General features: G+C 42.5%; 1 protein-coding gene across 8 annotated transcripts in view, besides 5 other annotated features; it reads left to right on the forward strand.

The window, feature by feature from the left end:
- The window catches only part of IFNAR1 (interferon alpha and beta receptor subunit 1), a 35,470-nt gene extending 26,409 nt beyond the window's left edge, over positions 1–9,061 (forward strand). For 4 of the 8 annotated variants that reach the window (NM_001384504.1, NM_001384500.1, NM_000629.3 and 1 more), the window contains exons 9-11: positions 1,955–2,105; positions 2,835–2,980; positions 4,513–9,061. In NM_001384504.1, the coding sequence (NP_001371433.1) occupies positions 1,955–2,105; positions 2,835–2,980; positions 4,513–4,746 (531 nt within the window). In that variant the 3' untranslated portion in view covers positions 4,747–9,061. The remainder of the gene's footprint in view (positions 1–1,954; positions 2,106–2,834; positions 2,981–4,512) is intronic. The other 4 variants (NM_001384503.1, NM_001384501.1, NM_001384498.1 and 1 more) reach the window with 3 other exon arrangements.
- Positions 10,420–10,714: a silencer, noted in NCBI's record as "tiled region #14728; HepG2 Repressive DNase unmatched - State 4:PromP". NCBI's record gives its function as "represses a minimal TATA promoter and a strong SV40 promoter by Sharpr-MPRA in HepG2 cells {active_cell/tissue: HepG2}" and the evidence as "EXISTENCE:reporter gene assay evidence [ECO:0000049][PMID:27701403]".
- Positions 15,600–16,799: an enhancer, noted in NCBI's record as "MED14-independent group 3 enhancer chr21:34738709-34739908 (GRCh37/hg19 assembly coordinates)". NCBI's record gives its function as "activates an origin of replication core promoter dependent on BRD2, BRD4, P300/CBP and CDK7 cofactors, and independent of MED14, by STARR-seq in HCT116 cells {active_cell/tissue: HCT116}" and the evidence as "EXISTENCE:reporter gene assay evidence [ECO:0000049][PMID:35650434]".
- Positions 15,600–17,153: a biological region, named in NCBI's record as "MED14-independent group 3 enhancer GRCh37_chr21:34738709-34739908".
- Positions 15,750–16,451: an enhancer, noted in NCBI's record as "H3K27ac hESC enhancer chr21:34738859-34739560 (GRCh37/hg19 assembly coordinates)". NCBI's record gives its function as "activates a minimal SCP1, AML or CMV promoter by ChIP-STARR-seq in naive and primed H9 embryonic stem cells {active_cell/tissue: H9 hESC(naive and primed)}" and the evidence as "EXISTENCE:reporter gene assay evidence [ECO:0000049][PMID:30033119]".
- Positions 16,452–17,153: an enhancer, noted in NCBI's record as "H3K27ac hESC enhancer chr21:34739561-34740262 (GRCh37/hg19 assembly coordinates)". NCBI's record gives its function as "activates a minimal SCP1, AML or CMV promoter by ChIP-STARR-seq in naive and primed H9 embryonic stem cells {active_cell/tissue: H9 hESC(naive and primed)}" and the evidence as "EXISTENCE:reporter gene assay evidence [ECO:0000049][PMID:30033119]".

Here is a 19,549-nt window from a genome sequence, read left to right on the forward strand (position 1 = left end):
ATGGTCGGTTTTCAGATGTCTGTAGATCAGACAAACCTAAATTTCTATCTCACTGCTAAACTGTGTAACCTTACGTACGCAGGGTGCTTTACCTCTTGGAGACTTTGCTTCCTCTTCTCTGAAGTGGTGGTAATCATAACAACTAAATTTTTCAAAAGGATGTTTATAAGGTTTAAAAGGAAGTAACAAATATGAAAATACCTAGCACATTGCTGGACAAGTAGTAGAGATTCAATAAATTGTAGTTGCCATCTTAACCTATACTGGATAATATATCAATAATTGTTACTATAGAAACTCTTATTGAATACTTATATGTAAGGTACTATGCTAAGTATTGTACATGAATTGTCTCAGTCATTCTTCAAAACAACCCTGCCGGATTATGTGATTGGTTACATTGCTGTTTGGCAAATACTTGGGACGGTGACTTCTTCCCTGCACCACCAGACCGTAGATGCTGGAGCCCAAGTAGATGTGCTGAGAACAGAGGCCTTAAGTGTGCTTGCAGGGTTTGGCTTGGCTCTTGCACTGCTCCTATTTGCCAGGAATAAAATGTATTCCACATAGTCTCTGGTCCAAGGAGGATTAGAGGCTGCTGGAGCTGACCTAAACCCCATGCACAGCCTCCGTGGGAGCTGCCCAGCCAGTCTGTAGACTTGTGAGTGAGAAACTACATAATCGTTTTGTGAGCCACTGAACGTTAAGGCAGTTTTGTTATCTATATTTTTTTATTTTATTTTATTTTATTTTTTTTTTTTTTGAGACAGGTTCTCATTCTTTTTCCCAGGCTGGAGTGCACTCATGTGATGTCAGCTCACTGCAGCCTCGACTTCCTGGGCTTAAGTGATCCTCCCACCTCAGCTTCCCAAGTAGCTGGGACTACAGGCACATGCCACCATGCCTAGCTAATTTTTTGTATTTTTGCTAAAGATGGAGTTTCACCACGTTGCCCAGGCTTTTTTGGTGGTGGTGGTGGTGGTTGTTTTGGAAATAGGGATTTCCTCAGCCTCCCAAGTAACAGAGACTACAGGCTCACACCACCATGCCTGGCCAATTTTTTTGAAATTTCTTGTACAGACAGAGTCTAGCTATGTTGCCCAGGCTCGTCTTGAACTCCTGGGCTCCAGTGATCCTCCTGCTTGGCCTCCCAAAGTGCTGGGATTACAGGTGTGACCCACCGGCTTGTTAGACATTATTCTGGCGATAGCTGACTGATACAGATAGCAGCAATAACTGTCCCGATTTTATAGATCAGGGAATCAGGTAGAGAGAAATTAAATAATGCTTGCAAGACCACACAGCTGTAAGTGATACTCTTAATAAGGCAGTTTGAGGCCAAAACCCCTACTCTTAACCATTCTGTCACTAATCAGAGGTAATACAATGGCAATTACCCCAGACTTGGCATGTACTTGTAAATCAATTAGAATTCTCTTAGGAATAGATCATATGCTTTTTTGGCAGCAGCATTTTTAACTTTCTGATTTGGTTATAGTGGTGTATCTAAAACAAATTTATATTTCTCACACATATACTCTGTAATCCCAGCACTTTGGGAGGCCAAGGTGGGTGGATCACTTGAGGCCAGGAGTTCAAGACCAGCCTGAACAACATGGTGAAACCCCATCTCTACCAAAAAGAAAAAAAAATTAGGCGTGGTGGCATCTGCATCTGTAATCCCAACTACTCAGGAGGGTGAGGCAGGAGAATCGCTTGAACCCAGGAGGCAGAGATTGCAGTGAGCCCAGATTGCACCACTGCACTCTAGCCTGGGTGACAGAGCGAGACTGTCTCACAAAAAAAACAAAACAAAACAAAACAAAACAAAAAATACATACCAACTACGTGGGAGAGGCCAATGTTAGACTGAACATAAAAAATTGAGAAAGCACATATTCCCTGATTTCTTGAGGTGACTAAATTTTATCAGTGATTTAATTATATTTTCTAGAGAAAAATTATCGAGAAAAAAACTGATGTTACAGTTCCTAATTTGAAACCACTGACTGTATATTGTGTGAAAGCCAGAGCACACACCATGGATGAAAAGCTGAATAAAAGCAGTGTTTTTAGTGACGCTGTATGTGAGAAAACAAAACCAGGTCAGAATCTTTTATTGTCTTTTTTAAAAATGTAGCTAGACATAATAAAAGTAATTCTATACTGTACATTGAAAATTGTAAAACATTTTCTCTTTACTGCAAAAAATATATAGAAAGAATGTTTTCTTCATGAACTACATGAATCAAAAGTAGACTTTTTAGAAAATATTTGTAACGCTTAACTCTCAAGTCGGTGTTGTTGGATGCTTTATATTTCATCCAGTATCCCTATAATTAATTTCCTTAATGTATTTCTCTTTAACATTTAATAAAACTATTTTAAATTTTTAGAATATAATCCTTAACATAATTATCATGTAGAAATCACTTAGTTCAATTGTGAGTTTTTTAATGTGGGAATTGGTTTAGTCTCATTTTCTATTTTACAGTTTCTAGTGTTGACCGGTAGAGGCTTAGTCACAGAATATCTATTAAATTTTGCTAGTTGTATGGTGTAAAAGTGCTGAAGGATACTTGCATGTTTGGCCTGTATGTCAATATTGTATTTCTCCCTGAGGATCTCTTACTTCAGTTCCCACGCCAATCTTTAAATGTAAATGTCATTGCCTATGGTTGCTGTGGACTCAGTGCTGCCAGAAATATTTTTAAGAGTATTATTTAATAGATTTTATATTTCCTTTCATATGGCTAGTCTTTCACACAGCTGTCAGCACTGTTAAGGCATTTGTATGTCAAAATATATGCTAAATATCACGTATATCTTTTTAGGAAATACCTCTAAAATTTGGCTTATAGTTGGAATTTGTATTGCATTATTTGCTCTCCCGTTTGTCATTTATGCTGCGAAAGTCTTCTTGAGATGCATCAATTATGTCTTCTTTCCATCACTTAAACCTTCTTCCAGTATAGATGAGGTATGTTACTTTTTTTATTTTTTTGTCAACAGCTAGGTAATGAACAGAAAATGTGTTTGATTTCAACAGGATATATGTAGGTTTTCTTGATATCCAGAAAATAATAGAGACTGATTTGGGTATCTTCTTCAAAGCTTTAGTCAATTAACTTTAAAAACAGTAATTTCATGTAATAACATAGCATGAGATAGTAATGATTGTCCTTAATTTCATATTTTTCTGGCAATTCCTAGATTCACTGTGGCATTTGTTTTACCGTTTAAAGCCTGTGATTCTTGGCCAAGCGTGGTGGCTCACGCCTGTAATCCCAGCACTTTGGGAGGCTGAGGCGGGTGGGTCACTTGAGGTCAGGAGTTCGAGACCAGCCTGGTCAACATGGAGAAACCCTGTCTCTACTAAAAATATAAAATTAGCCGGGCGTGGTGGCACATGCCTGTAATCCCAGCTACTCGGGAGGCTGAGGCAGGGGGATCGCTTGAACCTGGGAGGTGGAGGTTGCAGTGAGCCGAGGTCATGCCACTGCACTCCAGCCTGGGTGACAGAGCAAGACTCTGTCTCTAAATAAGTAAATAAAGTCTGTAATGTGATTCTTCTCAGTACAGACAGTCCCAAACTTACGCTGTTTCAATTTGTGATGCGTTTGTCAGAACGTAATTCCATTGTAAGTTAGGAGCATCTGTATATATCCAGAAGACTAAAATATTCTATCAGCGTAGAAAGTATATTCTATGGATGAAATCATACAAAATGAAATAACTAAAAACATGAGACTTTTTTTATGACACACATCACAGTTTTTTGTTTGGCACTTCTATGAAGCTAGCATATTAAATGAAAGCACTGAATGGTGAAGGCCTAAACATAGAATCTGTTCCTGGGAAACCATGTGCTCATCTAGGGTGGGTTTTGTGAATTTGAGCAAGTCACTAAGGGCAGGTAAGCAAGTACCCTTGGCTGTAAACCACCCCATAGAGGTGTTAGGAGCAAAGGAGTTAAACCATAAGAACCTTACCACTCTAAAAATGCTCCGTAAATATTAACAATTTTACTATTATACCCCTGAGTTTTTAAATGTCATTCCTGTGTACTGTAATATTCATAGCTATTATTTAAAATAGACTTAAAAACTAGTTACAATAGCCAATAATTTCTCAATTGTGCTTCTTCTGGATATATATGTGTTGGATACAAACATTTTTATTATTTCAAAAAAAAAAAGTCATGATCCCAGAGTCCGCCCGCTCCTGTCCTTTCCCGTGTTCTTCCCCGCCTACCCCGATGGCACAGTGTACCTTTCTTAGGTACTCTTCAAAGACTCACCACAGAAGGTACTAAGATATGAGTGACCTCACTAATGATGCTTTTAAACATTATAAGGCAATTAGTATGTTCTTAGGCGACTTTTTAATATGCATGCCAGAAGATAGGTTTTCTCAGTAATGGATGTAAGAAACTAAAGCTATTACAACTAGAAAAGGAATTTTTATTATTTTAAATAATTGATTTCTACTCTTTCCCTTTTTTTAAATTAGTATTTCTCTGAACAGCCATTGAAGAATCTTCTGCTTTCAACTTCTGAGGAACAAATCGAAAAATGTTTCATAATTGAAAATATAAGCACAATTGCTACAGTAGAAGAAACTAATCAAACTGATGAAGATCATAAAAAATACAGTTCCCAAACTAGCCAAGATTCAGGAAATTATTCTAATGAAGATGAAAGCGAAAGTAAAACAAGTGAAGAACTACAGCAGGACTTTGTATGACCAGAAATGAACTGTGTCAAGTATAAGGTTTTTCAGCAGGAGTTACACTGGGAGCCTGAGGTCCTCACCTTCCTCTCAGTAACTACAGAGAGGACGTTTCCCTGTTTAGGGAAAGAAAAAACATCTTCAGATCATAGGTCCTAAAAATACGGGCAAGCTCTTAACTATTTAAAAATGAAATTACAGGCCCGGGCACGGTGGCTCACACCTGTAATCCCAGCACTTTGGGAGGCTGAGGCAGGCAGATCATGAGGTCAAGAGATCGAGACCAGCCTGGCCAACGTGGTGAAACCCCATCTCTACTAAAAATACAAAAATTAGCCGGGTGTGGTGGCGCGCGCCTGTTGTCTTAGCTACTCAGGAGGCTGAGGCAGGAGAATCGCTTGAAAACAGGAGGTGGAGGTTGCAGTGAGCCGAGATCACGCCACTGCACTCCAGCCTGGTGACAGCGTGAGACTCTTTAAAAAAAGAAATTAAAAGAGTTGAGACAAACGTTTCCTACATTCTTTTCCATGTGTAAAATCATGAAAAAGCCTGTCACCGGACTTGCATTGGATGAGATGAGTCAGACCAAAACAGTGGCCACCCGTCTTCCTCCTGTGAGCCTAAGTGCAGCCGTGCTAGCTGCGCACCGTGGCTAAGGATGACGTCTGTGTTCCTGTCCATCACTGATGCTGCTGGCTACTGCATGTGCCACACCTGTCTGTTCGCCATTCCTAACATTCTGTTTCATTCTTCCTCGGGAGATATTTCAAACATTTGGTCTTTTCTTTTAACACTGAGGGTAGGCCCTTAGGAAATTTATTTAGGAAAGTCTGAACACGTTATCACTTGGTTTTCTGGAAAGTAGCTTACCCTAGAAAACAGCTGCAAATGCCAGAAAGATGATCCCTAAAAATGTTGAGGGACTTCTGTTCATTCATCCCGAGAACATTGGCTTCCACATCACAGTATCTACCCTTACATGGTTTAGGATTAAAGCCAGGCAATCTTTTACTATGCATTAAGACCTCTGATTCAAAACTTATTAGAACAGTAGCTTCTGCTGGAATTTGCAATCACTGAAGTCATAGAAAATAGGTAACTATCTAATTAGAGAAATAATTGTTGTATTTTAAGATCTGAGAGTGTGTACAAGTTTTAGTATACATGCCATGCCAGAAGATAGTGTATGCAAGAAGTCTTGGGACCAGAAAATGGCAATGATAGGAGACTGACATAGAAGAAGAATGCTTCCCTAGGAAAAAGGTCGCTGGCTTTGGTGCAAGAGGAAGAAGAATGTTCCACTGGAAGCCTGAGCACCTAATCAGCTCTCAGTGATCAACCCACTCTTGTTATGGGTGGTCTCTGTCACTTTGAATGCCAGGCTGGCTTCTCGTCTAGCAGTATTCAGATACCCCTTCTGCTCAGCCTGCTTGGCGTTAAAATACAAATCATTGAACTGAGGGGGAAAAATGTAACTAGGAAGAAAAACCCAATTTAAGAAATTACATAATGCTTTCCAAAGGCACCTACAACTTAGTTTTAAATTACTTGCTACTGGGGATTACCCATGGATATCCTTAATAGGCAGGAAGTCTGGGAATTCTGGTGGCCTCTAGGGCAGTGTTCTCACAGCACCGTTCCGACAGGGACCAGTGAAAGAAAAGAGACAAAGTTAGAACGTGCTGGGGAGCGGCCATTTCTAAGGCCAGTCTGGTTTAAGTAGTCATTTCTGCTGAAAAAACAGATGATCCTGGTGGAAGAAAAGGTTGAAGGCAGCTGCCCTCGGGAGGGCTGTGATGCTCGGCACATCCTGCCTGGCACATACACGTGTCTGCAGGCCACACCGTGCATGTCCCCAGACCTGCCGCCTGGCTTCTGGAGTGCTTCAAGCAGAGCATGGTGGGTCATTGAGGAGACCCAGGAATCTCATCTGAGAACCCACTCTCTGCCGGAGAACCCCATGGTGACACATTTTCATCTTTCTGACCAGAGGCTGTTTTTTTTTTTTTTTGAGACAGTCTCATTCTGTTGCCCAGGCTGGAGTGCAGTGGCTTGATCTCGGCTCACTGCAACCTCGCCTCCCGGGTTCAAGCAATTCTCTGCCGCAGCCTCCAGAGTAGCTGGGATAACAGGTGCCCACCACCACACCCCACTAATTTTTGTATTTGTATTTTTAGTAGAGATGGGGTTTCACCATGTTGGTCAGGCTGGTCTTGGACTCCTGACCTCATGCTCCACCCGCTTCGGCCTCCCAAAGTTCTGGGATTACAGGTGTGAGCCACCGTGCACGGCCGGCCTGACCTTTGGAAAAGCCTTGTCACTTTGGACGTTTGCGTCTTTGAAGAGGCGATGGGAGCATATCATGACTGCCTGCCACCATTGCTTTTCAGACTACCACAACTCAATCATGCTGTCCAGGACTTCTGGCCCTGTGTTCACCACTGGGAAAACGTACTTCAGACTGGATAGCCTAAAAAGGAGCAATGCCCTTGTAGGATGTGGAGAAGGGAAAATACGGACATTAACATTAAAAGACACCAGTGAAATTGTTAGGTCTCTAGGAAGTTGGAGCACAAGGCTTCACGCTTTAAGACCATCTGTGGTTTTCAGTGAACAAGCGCTGAGCACCAGCAGCAGAAAACAACAACAAAAAAACACCTCGTTTTTACCTTGTCTTCTAGACATGAAAAGGCAGTTGCATTCCACTCTGCATTATGTTCTACATGTTGCTTTATCAGTATATGCTTAGCTGTAAGTGACAAGTATTTTTTCTGAACAGAAGTTTACTTAGAAATACCATGCACTTGGGGGTACCAATTAACCGCCTGAAAATTAGCATATTGATAGTTCTTAGAGAGACCAGATATAATCTAAGAATTTATATGAAAGATTTGTATCATTAGAGCCAGAAATAATTTTATATTAATATATAATACAGATTAACATTATATATAATATGTACCTGTGTCACTTCTGACATGAGCCTGTAAACATATATTCATATATGTACCTGCACATGTACCCACCTGATGTAGGTCTTATTCCTTTAGTATGGACTTAAAGTACTTATTCATATACCTTGTAACTAAAAATTAGAACAGCTCCCTAGAATTGTGAACTTTTAAGAGTCTGACTAGAAATTTGCAACTTATAAAAAAGTTACTTTTAAAAATATAAGTTAGGGCTAGGCACAGTGGCTCATGCCTATAATCTCAGCACTTTTGGGAGGCCAAGACAGGAGGATCACTTCAGGCCAGGAGTTCAAGATCAACCAACCTGGGTAACATGGCCAGACCCCATCTCTATTTATATATATATATATAAAACTTAGAGTTTTTATCTTCCCCTAAAAGAGGCCGTGATATTTGCAGCAGCCTCAAATTGCTCTTAAGGGGTTTAGGTGTGCAGAAGCTTTCCTTTCCCTACCCAGTAACCATGTGACTACTAACGTGGTATATTGATTTATTTTGTTTGCTGTCTGTCTCCCCTGCCCCACTGCTGGAACAGAGGCTCCAAGAAAACAGGGACCTTATTATTCATTACTGCATCCCCAGTAATGAAAGTACTTAGAAAATAATTATTGAATGAATGAAATCTAAACTGTGAACCTGAGGGTGTTTGTGGCAGTGTTTGTTTTACTGAATTGTAGAAGGACATAACCGTGTTTTCAGTGTTTCTATGGAACAAACTTGTACATTTTATTTCACTTGTGTTTTGTCTTAAACCCTACTGCTGGAAACAATTTTATGTAATAAGCAATGGGCCCAAAAGTCTAGGAGTTTTTTTGTACTTAGTGAATTTGTATGCAACAGAGATGCTGCAGCTGATGCCTTTAAAAGGTATTCATCATGGAAGAGCTGAGGCCTGTGCTTGGTGTTCCAGAGCCCAGGGTTGAGCATCCTGAAGGAGCCACTGCAGCCGTCACTGTCCCCAGAGCCTGTGGAGATAGAGCCTGTTTGCTGCTTTTTCTTCCCGCTCTTAAGACATGGCTGGAGCTCAGTCTTCATTGAATGAAGTTTGCTGTGGTATTGCATAGCCTTGCTTTCTTGAACTAAACTGTTTGCCCTTCACAAGTAGTTCTTCTTTCAGGATTAGTTCGTTCCAAGGAGGCTCTTCAGTCTCACAGATAAGTAGATCTCTCCTGCTGTCTGGACACATTTCACTCGGAAATTGAATACAATTTGTATTCAGGCTGGGAACCTGAACACACACTTGTGTTTTTAAGCTTCCCTTTTTTACAGTGGACAAGGACACAAATAATAAATAAATCATCCCTAATGCCCAAGAAATGCCCTGGTACTTAGTAATAACAAAATACCAGTAACTTCCAGTTGTTTCTCACTACCTTTTTTCTTGAGTAGGATGATAATAGAATTACAACTCTTGAGGGCAACATAAATATAGGTGGATATTTGTGGTATGATATTGATGGAAAAATAGCAATCTTTTTCTTTACCTGAGGGGAACAAAGGCAAGAGGAGAATTCGATAGTTCTCATAACAAAGGATTTCTGAGTTTTCCTCCCCTTTCTGTGATCTGTCTCCACTTGGAACTCATGTTCTAGCAAAGGACATTTTGTGGGTGAAGAAGTGATTAATGATTAGGATGAAGAAAATGTTGGCAGTTCCAGCCTGGCCAACATGGTGAAACCCCGTCTCTACTAAAAATACAAAAATTAGCCAAGCATGGTGGCATGTGCCTGTAATCCCAGCTACTGGGGAGGCTGAGGCAGGAGAATCGATTGAACCCGGGAGGCGGAGGTTACAGTGAGCTAAGATCGCACCACTGCACTCCAGGCTGGGCGACAGAGCGAGACTCCATCTCAAAAGAAAAAAAATGTTGGCAGAGAAGATGTTCTGTTGTTTTTTTTTTTTTTTAAGGTCTTGAGAAAAGGGAGGAAGTTGAAAAATTTTATCACTCAATAGCTGGATTAAATTAAACATTACGTCTCACAGTGACTCACCACCCTTGAGCCTCCCTCCCAGATTTTCTGGATACATCAAAGTTAAGAAGAAAAACCTATTTTCCTATCTTTCCAGTAAAAGGACCCTTTTTTCTAAACATAGTCCTTAAATATATAATAGGCTTTTTGTGTACTTGACTCTGTTGTCTATTCCCAAATTTTATAATACTTTTAATATTCTGGAATTGTACTTAGAGAGATTATTCTAAATGTTGTAGTATAAAAGTACATCATCCACTCTGAAATCTCCCTAAAAGAACTCCACTGCATACACGTGGAGAAGTCATCATGCCCCATCTGTGTCTGTACCTGCGGGTGTGTCTAGCATGCTCCCTAGGGAAGGGATTTTATACCATTTGCTTATATTTATTTGGCAAGCTCCATGAAAACAAGGACTGTTTTTTAACTTTGTGGCTGACACTTGGTTGCCTAAGTGTTTAACGGTGATTGAGCGGGGACGTTGACGGTACAAACACTGATTGAATTTACCACTGGAGGGCAACAAGTCACCCTGTTCAGGCTGACAATCGGTTACTATTCAATAATTCCATTCCCAGAAGATACGCCAAGTATGTTTATACAGGTGGTTTCTTAAAGTTCTGTTTGTGATTATCTCGTCTTGAGCAAATGAGGAAAGGATGTGAAGAATCTGGTGTCCCCATGATCTCACCCAGAAATGGTTTGGTAGTTACAAAGCAAGATAGAGCAGTTGAGCAAATACTTAGCCCATCTAGTCCTCTACCACTACCACCTTCGCCTTTTAATGAGCAGGACTTTGTAGTAAGCGAGTTGTTGAAAAGGAGCTCCACATACTTAGTAACAGCCTCGGAGCGGATGGAAAGAAGTAGGCATTGCTGCAGAGCTGAGATGAACCTGCAAGGAGACAGCCTTGGCCCCAGGGAATGATCACTGCACTGCGCCCCCTACTGGCCTGGCTGAGATGACTAGCTGTGATTCCCTCCTTAGTCTCACCTGTTGAAGATGGCGCAGAACAGTTACAGCCATGATCAAAAAAGATAATTAATACTTTAGTGTCTCCTGCCCTATCCGCCCCCAGGGAGAGGCCAGACCATTCAGGGTGCCAGCTGGAGGTTATAAGGGTGGAGTGTGGAGACAGTGTTTCGTGTCACTACTTCCTTTTTTTTTTTTTTTTTTTTTTTTTTTGAGACAGAGTTTTGCTCTTGTCGCCCAGGCTGGAGTGCGGTGGGGCGATCTCGGCTCACTCCAACTTTCACCTCCCAGGTTCAAGCAATTCTCCTGCCTCAGCCTGCTGAATAGCTGGGATTACAGGCGCCTGCCACCACGCCCAACTAATTTTTCTATTTTTAGTAGAGAGCTTCCTGATAGCTGAACATGCAGAGGCTGCTGGGAAGGGCATAGAATCTCTGCAGTCCTTCTCACATACCTTATCCTATGTATCTCTTCATCTGTATCCTTTGTAATAGCCTTCATAATAAACCGGTAAACATAAGTTAGTGTTTCCTCTAGTTCTGTTAGGCAATCTAGCAAATCAGTTGAACACAAGGAGGGGGCCATGGGACCCTCAATTTATAGTCATTCAGTCATAACAGGTAAAACCTGGGGCTTGCAATTGGCATCGGAAATAAGGGGGCAGTCTTGTGGGAATGAGCTCTCAACCTGTGAGATTGAAGCAGCATGGTTGTCTGGGGTAATACGTGTGGTTTGTTGCCCCACGCCAAGGAAATCGAGGATGGGGACACAAAAGGAGTGGGTTCAAGAGCGGAAGTTTAGCAGGCAAAAGAAAGAAGAGACCTTCCCTGTGCAGAGGAAGGAGTCCCGAACAGGTTTCCGGGTTTACAGCGAGATGCGGTTGCTTTTATAGATGAGCTTGAGGAAGCGGTGTCTTATTTACGTAGGGCACAGAGGATTGGTTGGACCAGGTGTTCCATTTACATAGCACAGGAAGAGGCTGGCCATCCCACCCTCATCTGTTATTATGCAAATGGCACCTCTACCTAGCCCAGGCCTTGTTGCCTGCTTTTTTACTGCACACGTGGCAACAAAGAAAAGGGAAAAGGGAACTTCAATATTGAATATACCTGACTTCCAAGTATCCCTTTCCTATTGGCACAGCTGCTGGCATTCGCCTATGCAAGCTTCCAGTTTGCTTATCTATGTTTGCAGCTTGAGTTTTCAGGCTCTTTTTGTTAGAAAAGAAATGATTTGGGGCTTCTTTTTATTAAAAGGCAAACCTTACTGAGGACTCTTTTATCCTCACTAACTGCCTAAATAAATTTTGTTTAGGTGTTGTATCAGGATCTGATGCTATCTCCAGGTAGACAGTGTCAGAATTAAATAGGAGGATACCCAACCAGTGTCTGCTGCAGAATTGATTGCCTTCTTGTTAATGGGGAGAAATCACTACGCATTTGGTCACAGAAGTCTTCTGTGTTTATTGTTGTGGCATGAGAGCAGAGGAAAAACGGTTTGAGATTTTTCCCCTCAAAAACATAGGGGAAATCTTCATGATATTGGACTTGGCAATGATTTATTGGCTATGACACCAAAAGCACAGACAACAAAAACAAAAGTAGACAAATGGGACTACATCAAACTTAAAAACTTCTGCATATAAAAGGAAATAATCAATGGAAAAGACAACCTTTGGAATTGGAAAAATTATTTGCAAAATATTTGCTTTGATAGATTAGCAGATAAAATGTGGTGTTCACATGCCACGGAATATTATTCAGCCTTTAAAAAGAAGGAAATTCTGAGGCCGGGCGTGGTGGCTCACGCCTGTAATCCCAGGACTTTGGGAGGCCGAGGCGGGCAGATCACGAGGTCAGGAGATCGAGACCATCCTGGCTAACACGGTGAAACCCCGTCTCTACTAAAAATACAAAAAATTAGCCGGGCGTGGTGGAGGGTGCCTGTAGTCCCAGCTACTCGGGAGGCTGAGGCAGGAGAATGGCGTGAACCCGGGAGGCGGAGCTTGCAGTGAGCCGAGATCGCACCACTGCACTCCAGCCTGGGCGACAAAGTGAGACTCCGTCTCAAAAAAAAAAAAAAAAAAAAAAAAGGAAATTCTGTCATGTGCTACAACATAGGTGAAGCTTGAGGACATTATGTATGCTATGTGAAATAGGCCAGCAACAAAAATATAAATACCATGTGATTCTACTTACATGAGGTTTCTAAAGCAATCTAATTTCTAGAGACAGAAATTAGACCGATGATTGCTGGCGGCTCAAGGAAGGGGAAAATGGAGAGTTGTTCAGTGGCTATAAAGCTTCAGTTTTTCAAGATGAAAAAGTTCTGAAAATAGGTAATACTACTGAATTGTATGTGTAAAATGGTTAAGATAGTAATTTTTTTTTTTTTAAGAGACAGGGTTTCACTCTGTTGTCCAGACTGGCCTCAAACTTCTATCTCAAGCGATCCTTCCGCCTCAGCATCTGGAGTAGCTGGGACTATAGGTGTGCACCACCACACCCAGCTTTAAAAAGGTCACTATTTTACTTATTTATTTTTAATTAGGGCAGACTTAACAGTAAGTGATTCATCCTTGGTTTCTGATACATTATTTCCTCCTTTTTCTAAAGGAAGTCTGCTCTCTGCCATTATTTTATCTGCCCAGAATACAAGTATAGTAACGTCTTATTACAAGCTATACAAATCCTTTTTCAAAGTGAGTGTGCAGACTGGGCTTGGCGGCTCACGCTTGTAATCCCAGCAATTTGGGAGGCTGAGGTGGGTGAATCACTTGAGGCCAGGAGTTTGAGATCAGCCTGGCCAACATGATGAAACCCCATCTCTACTAAAAGTACAAAAATTAGCGGGGCATGGTGGCACACACCTATAATCCCAGGTACTCGGGAGGCTGAGGCAGGAGAATCACTCGAACCCGGGAGGCAGAGGTTGCAGTGAGCCGGGAGTGCACCACTGCACTCCAGCCTGGGCAACAAAGTGAGACTCTGTCGTGAGTGTGCAGTTCATCACGTAGGCTTGTGTTGATGTCAACATAAGGCAAGTACTTCCTCATTGCTCTACATCAGTGAAGAAATGTGAACACCAAGGTTTAGACTGAGAAGTAGGGCAGGGAGATTGGATGGAGGTAAACTTTAAACATTTCATGTCTTAATTTCTGCTTGTTTACCCCCAAGAGAATTTTATAAATCCATTTATTTCTTCATGTTTTAATTAACATCTAAAATATTTCCTGACACGTTTAAATAGTTGCAAAAGAAATACTTTACAGTAAGTTGTAAATATTCACATTTTAAAATAAACTTGCTTTATCGCTCTTATAAATGCATTCAATGGAATCTCCTATCAAAGCAATTTGATACCCATCATTGTCTACTTTGAAATTACAGAAACTCGGCCAGACATGGCGGCTCACTCCTGTAATCCCAGCACTTTGGGAGGCCGAGGCGAGAGGATTGTTTGAGTCCAAGAGTTCAAAACCATCCTGGACAACATAGTGAGACGACCTTGTCTCTACAAAAAAATGAACAGAATTAGCCAGGTGTGGTGGTGTGTGCCTGCAATTCTAGCTACTTGGGAAGCTGAGGTAGGAGGATCTCTTGAGCCCTGGAGGTCAAGGTATAGTGAGCCAACATTGTGCCACTGCACTCCAGCCTGGGCAACAGAGCAAGACCCTGTCTCAGAAATATTTTTTTAAAAATTTTTTTAAAAAGAAACTCCAGAAACTGTTCTTTATGGGTTCTGAAACTTTACACCATTTCCTTTCCTCCTTGAATTCATATTCTTATTCCCACAAAAGTTCATCTTCATGCAGTAGATTTATTGATCATCTATCGTATATCTTTGCAACAAAAAAGTATATAAATTGATATATTTCTTTTTATATGATCATAGTCTCTGAATGTTAAAAAGAAAAAAATCTGGTTGGGTGCGGTGGCTCATGCTTGTAATCCCAGCACTTTGGGAGGCCGAGGTGGGTGGATCACGAGGTCAGTAGTTCAAGACCAGCCTGGCCAAATGGTGAAACCCCGTCTCTACTAAAAATACAAAAATTAGCTGGGCACGGTGGCAGGAGCCTGTAATCCCAGCTACTCAGGAGGCTGAGGCAGAAGAATCACTTGAACCCTGGTGACAGAGGTTGCAGTGAGCCAAGATCAAGCCACTGCACTCTAGCCTGGGGGACAGAGTGAGACTCCATCTCAAAAAAAAAAAGAAAGAAAGAAAAATAGCTTTTCTGGATTATTATTGCAATTATTAGTATACAGTTGATCAAATATTTCATAACCTTTGATAAATAATTTTTCAGCATAAAAAGTCCAATTTCACTGGAAATGCATCTCTTTTATTTATTTACTTATTTATTTATTTTGAGACAGAGTCTCGCTCTGTCACCCAGGGCTGGAGTGCAGTGGTGCTATCTCAGCTTGCTGCAACCTCTGCCTCCTGGGTTCATGCGATTCTCCTGCCTCAGCCTCTCGAGCAAGTGGGATTACAAGTGCATGCCACCATGCCTGGCTAATTTTTTGGATTTTTAGTAGAGACAGGGTTTCACCATATTGGCCAGGCTGGTCTTGAACTCCTGGCCTCAAGTGATCTGCCTGCCTCAGCCTCCCAAAGTGCTGGGATTACAGGCATGATCCACCACACCCTGCCTGGAAATACATCTCTTAATTAACTGGATGGAGCTTCTTCCCTCTTCCTTCAATGCCTGCAGGTGTCACAGATGAACATGCCTTCTTGCCACATGGAGACAGGACCTAGTGCCTCTGCTGCTCCTGTTTTCCATGTTTTGGGGTGAGGCTTTGTGATGGGCTTGGAAGGAATCCCAAAGTGTCACCTCCACTCGAGTCTTTGGATTCTTTCTGATTTATAGGTCAAAAGCTATTTAGTGAACATTTATCAAAAATTATCTCTATCTAGTTGCTGAGCATGATATGAAAGGAAAATAAAAACTCGGGACTCCAATTCACTCTGCCAAAAGAAAAAAACTAAGCTGAAAGCTGAGTCATGCAAGAAGCTGCCTTTCCTTTTGTTCCTAAGCAGAGAGCTAGAGGTAAAGGTAAGTGTCTTGGGGGGGATATTTAACCTACTCTGTGTTCACCTTATCTTCTGTAAAGTGCTGATTTTCTGAGCATACAAGGAATACATAATTGAAATTGACTATTCCCCTACCTGCTCCTTTTCTCTTGCAACTTGTGGATTCGATAATGTGACCATACCCTCCTTCTTTCCATACCAGCCTGTTTTTTCCCTTATATTGAAGCCCTCAAAATCATCTTTGGAGAAAGGCACAGACCTGTCTCCTGGGCATTGTCCTTAACCTTGGCAAAGTAAACTTCTCAATTGAGACCTGTCTCAGATACTTTTCAGTTTACAATCAACAGCAGCTAACATTGACTGGGCGTGGTGGCTCACTCCTGTAATCTCAACACTTTGGGAGGCCGAGGCAGGTGGATCGTTTGAGCCCAGGAGTTTGAGACCAGACTGGGCAACATGGTAAAAACCCTCTCTACAAAAAATACAAAAAAGTAGCTGGGCGTGGTGGTGCACACCTGAGTCCCAGCTACTCAGGAGGCTGAGGTAGGAGAATCACTTGAGCCCAGGAGGTGCATGTTGCAATGAGCCAAGATCAAGCAACTGCATTCCAGCCTGAGTGACAGATTGAGACCCTGTCTCAAACAAAAAGAAAAAGAAAAGAAAAGAAAAAACCCAGCAGCTAACATTATAAAAACAGAAACTGCCAAACATTATACATCTCCTGATGGACAGATCAGGAGTAGTCTTGAAAAAACCCATTGTTAGGAATGATAAATTCCTCTTCAAAGGGTTTAATTGTGTAAAGTTCTTGCTCTTTGTTCAGAAGCCCAACCTCCTTGTACTCTCATTTCTAGCCTGCAAACAACTCTTCCGCTCTGATTGTGCCCTGACATGCCCAGACATGTTCAGACATGCCTTGTACTCTAACAGACAAACTACTCCTACCCCATCCTTCTCTTAACTGCACGTTTGCCATATTTAGAGAAAGTTTAAGTCTTATCCAGTTGGGTTAGTTTAGATTGTGCGGTCCAACTCCAACCAATGGGGAAAGGACACAGGAACAGAAGCTGCATGCGGGGTAAAAACCCTTCTCTCCTTTGTTCGGTGTGCTCTTGCAAGCAGATGGACACAGGCAGCACTCTTCTGCAGAAGTAAATGTGCCTTGCTGAGAAATTTTCTGTCTAAGTGCTGGTTTTTCTTTGCAGCACTGAGTGCTTGTTTCTAACACCATCCTGACCTGGCCTTAGATCGAATTGCCAACTTATAGAAAATACAGGGGACAAAGAAACAGGTTACATGATACTGTACAGATGCAAATTCCAGACTATGAGCAAGTCTGTATGACAAAAGGGCTGGTTTCATTAACAAATCAATTGCAAGGAAAAAGAGGGAGAGCTTATCTCTTTTCTTTTCTTTTCTTTTCTTTTCTTTTCTTTTCTTTTTTCTTTTCTTTTCTCTTCTTTTCTTTTTTGAGACAGAGTTTCGCTCTGTCGCCCAGGCTGGAGTGCAGTGGCACAATCTCAGCTCACTGCAATCTCTGCCTCCTGGATTCAAGCGATTCTCCTGCCTCAGCCTCCCAAGTAGCTGGGATTACAGGCACCCACCACCATGCCCAGCTAATTTTTGTATTTTAGTAGAGACGGGGTTTCACCATGTTGGCCAGGCTGGTCTTGAACTCCTGACCTCAGGTGATTCTCCCACTTCAGCCTCCCAAAGCGTTTGGATTACAGGCATGAGCCACCACACCCAGCCAAGCTTATCTGTTTTCAATTGTGTGTGTGTGTGTGTGTGCACATGAGAGAGAAAGAGGAAGTTACATTTATGAGACTGATAGTGGCAAGAGGCAGGCAAATGCCTAGGCAGATAACAGCGGGTCCCTGGTGAAACCCCACTGCCAAGCCAAAAACAGTTTAAAGCCTGAAAGTCAAGCTACAGGTCACATCCACGGACTGGATTGAGAACCTGTCTTCCCATTTGGTGCACTTTCCTCTGATTGAGCCCCACCCTTCACCTGTTTTATATATACCTCCTAATTGGTTCTCTACACTGTCATGCCCACCTTTCAGTGGTGTCTTTGCTTTAGCCTTTTTTGCATACTCACAAACCAATCAGCATGCACTCCCCTATTCTGAGCCCATAAAGACCCCAAACTCAGCCACACTGGGAGAGAGAAACCACCTGACTGTGGGGATCAGGGACCACCCCCACGTCCACTCTCCACTGAGAGCTGTTCTGCTCAACAAAATTCTTCTCTGCCCATCCTCCGCCTTCGAATTGTCAGCATATCCTCATTCTTCTCATTCTTCTTGGACAAGAGCTTGGGAACTGGGTACAAGCCATAATGCAGGTGGGGCTGAGTGGTCAGGATGTCTCCAGCAGCAGGCCTGGGGCTGAGCAAAGCCCAGGTGAGGTTGGGAGTGGGGGTGTGTGTCCCCAGCCATGGAGGTCCCTGCTTGGCAAAGTGGTAGAGAAAAATCCTGTGTCAAGACAATTAAAACTTTTAACACCAACAATTTTTTTTTTTTTTTTTTGGATACGGAGTCTTGCTCTGTTGCCCAGGCTGGAGTGCAATGGTGCAATTTCAGCTCACTGCAAACTTCACCTCCCGGGCTCAAAGGATTCTCCTGCCTCAGCCTCCAGAGTAGCTGGGACTACAGGTGCACACCACCACACCTGTCTAATTTTGTATTTTTAGTAGAGACAGAGTTTTGTCATGTTGGCCAGGCTGGTCTTGAACTCCTGACCTCAGGTGATCCACCCACCTCAGCCTCCCAGAGTGCTGGGATTACAGGCATGAGCCACCATGCCCAGCTAAATTTTTTTTGTTTTCATTTGTCACATAGATGAGGGCTTCCTATGTTGCCCAGGCTGGTCTCGAACACCTGACCTCACCTCATTATGTGATTATGTGCCAGGACAATAGGCCTGAGCCACTGCACCTCCCACAATTTTTGTAATATGAATTACTAACTTATTTTGTGCCAGCTAATAATATTATGGTATCTTGTGCTTTAAATAAGATGCGTCTGAAATGTTTATAGATGAAGTAAGATAATATTTGAAATTTACTTCAAATGAACACTGGAGGAAAGGTACAGAAATGCAGGGCAGTGCAATGGGTGTAATGCACTGTGCACAAGGGAAGGCCTTATTCCCCCACCTGCTGAAGCATTGCCAAGAGACAGCCTGGCTCTGTCAGTATCTTCAAGAAGCACCTCACTGAGGAGTACCAGCCTGTGCTGAGCCCTTGTCTGTGACAGCCCACATCCAGTGTCTTCTCCATCAGGGCTTGCCCCACTGGGTCAGCTCCCAGGTCCATCCCCTAGAACTCACTCTTCCCAGCCCTGCTTCCTTCTCTCCCTTGCACAGATTTGATCCTGGGAGCACTCCCTATTCAACTTCCTGCAAGCTAACCTGGATCTCAGAGCCTGCTTCCAGGGAACTCATCCTGTACAAGTTGAAACAAAACTAGCCGTGAATGGATAATTCTTAAAGCTGAGTGTGATAGGTAGAATTCAAAGATGGTCCCCAAGGTCCCTACCTCTGATATAAACACCCTGTATCATCCCCAGTACTGTCTGGCAATAGATTTTACTCCTGTAACTAGCTTCTTTGGCACAGTTGACCGCTAGCCGGGGAGAGGAGTATTCTGGTGGGCCTGACCTAAATCACATGAGCCCTCCAAAAGCAGAGTTTTCTCTGGCTCCTCCCAGACAGCAATTCAAAGCACAGGGATTCAACAGGCTGCTGATGGCTTTAAGGTGGAGGGAGCCACAGTGCATGGGATGCAAGTGGCTGGTAGCAGCTGGGGCAGCCACTGTGGGCAGTCAGCATGGAAACAGGGTCCTAGGTCCTGCAGCCGCAAGG

This window comes from Homo sapiens, chromosome 21 (genome assembly GCF_000001405.40).
Source record: "Homo sapiens chromosome 21, GRCh38.p14 Primary Assembly".
In the NCBI taxonomy this organism is placed as follows: domain Eukaryota; kingdom Metazoa; phylum Chordata; class Mammalia; order Primates; family Hominidae; genus Homo; species Homo sapiens.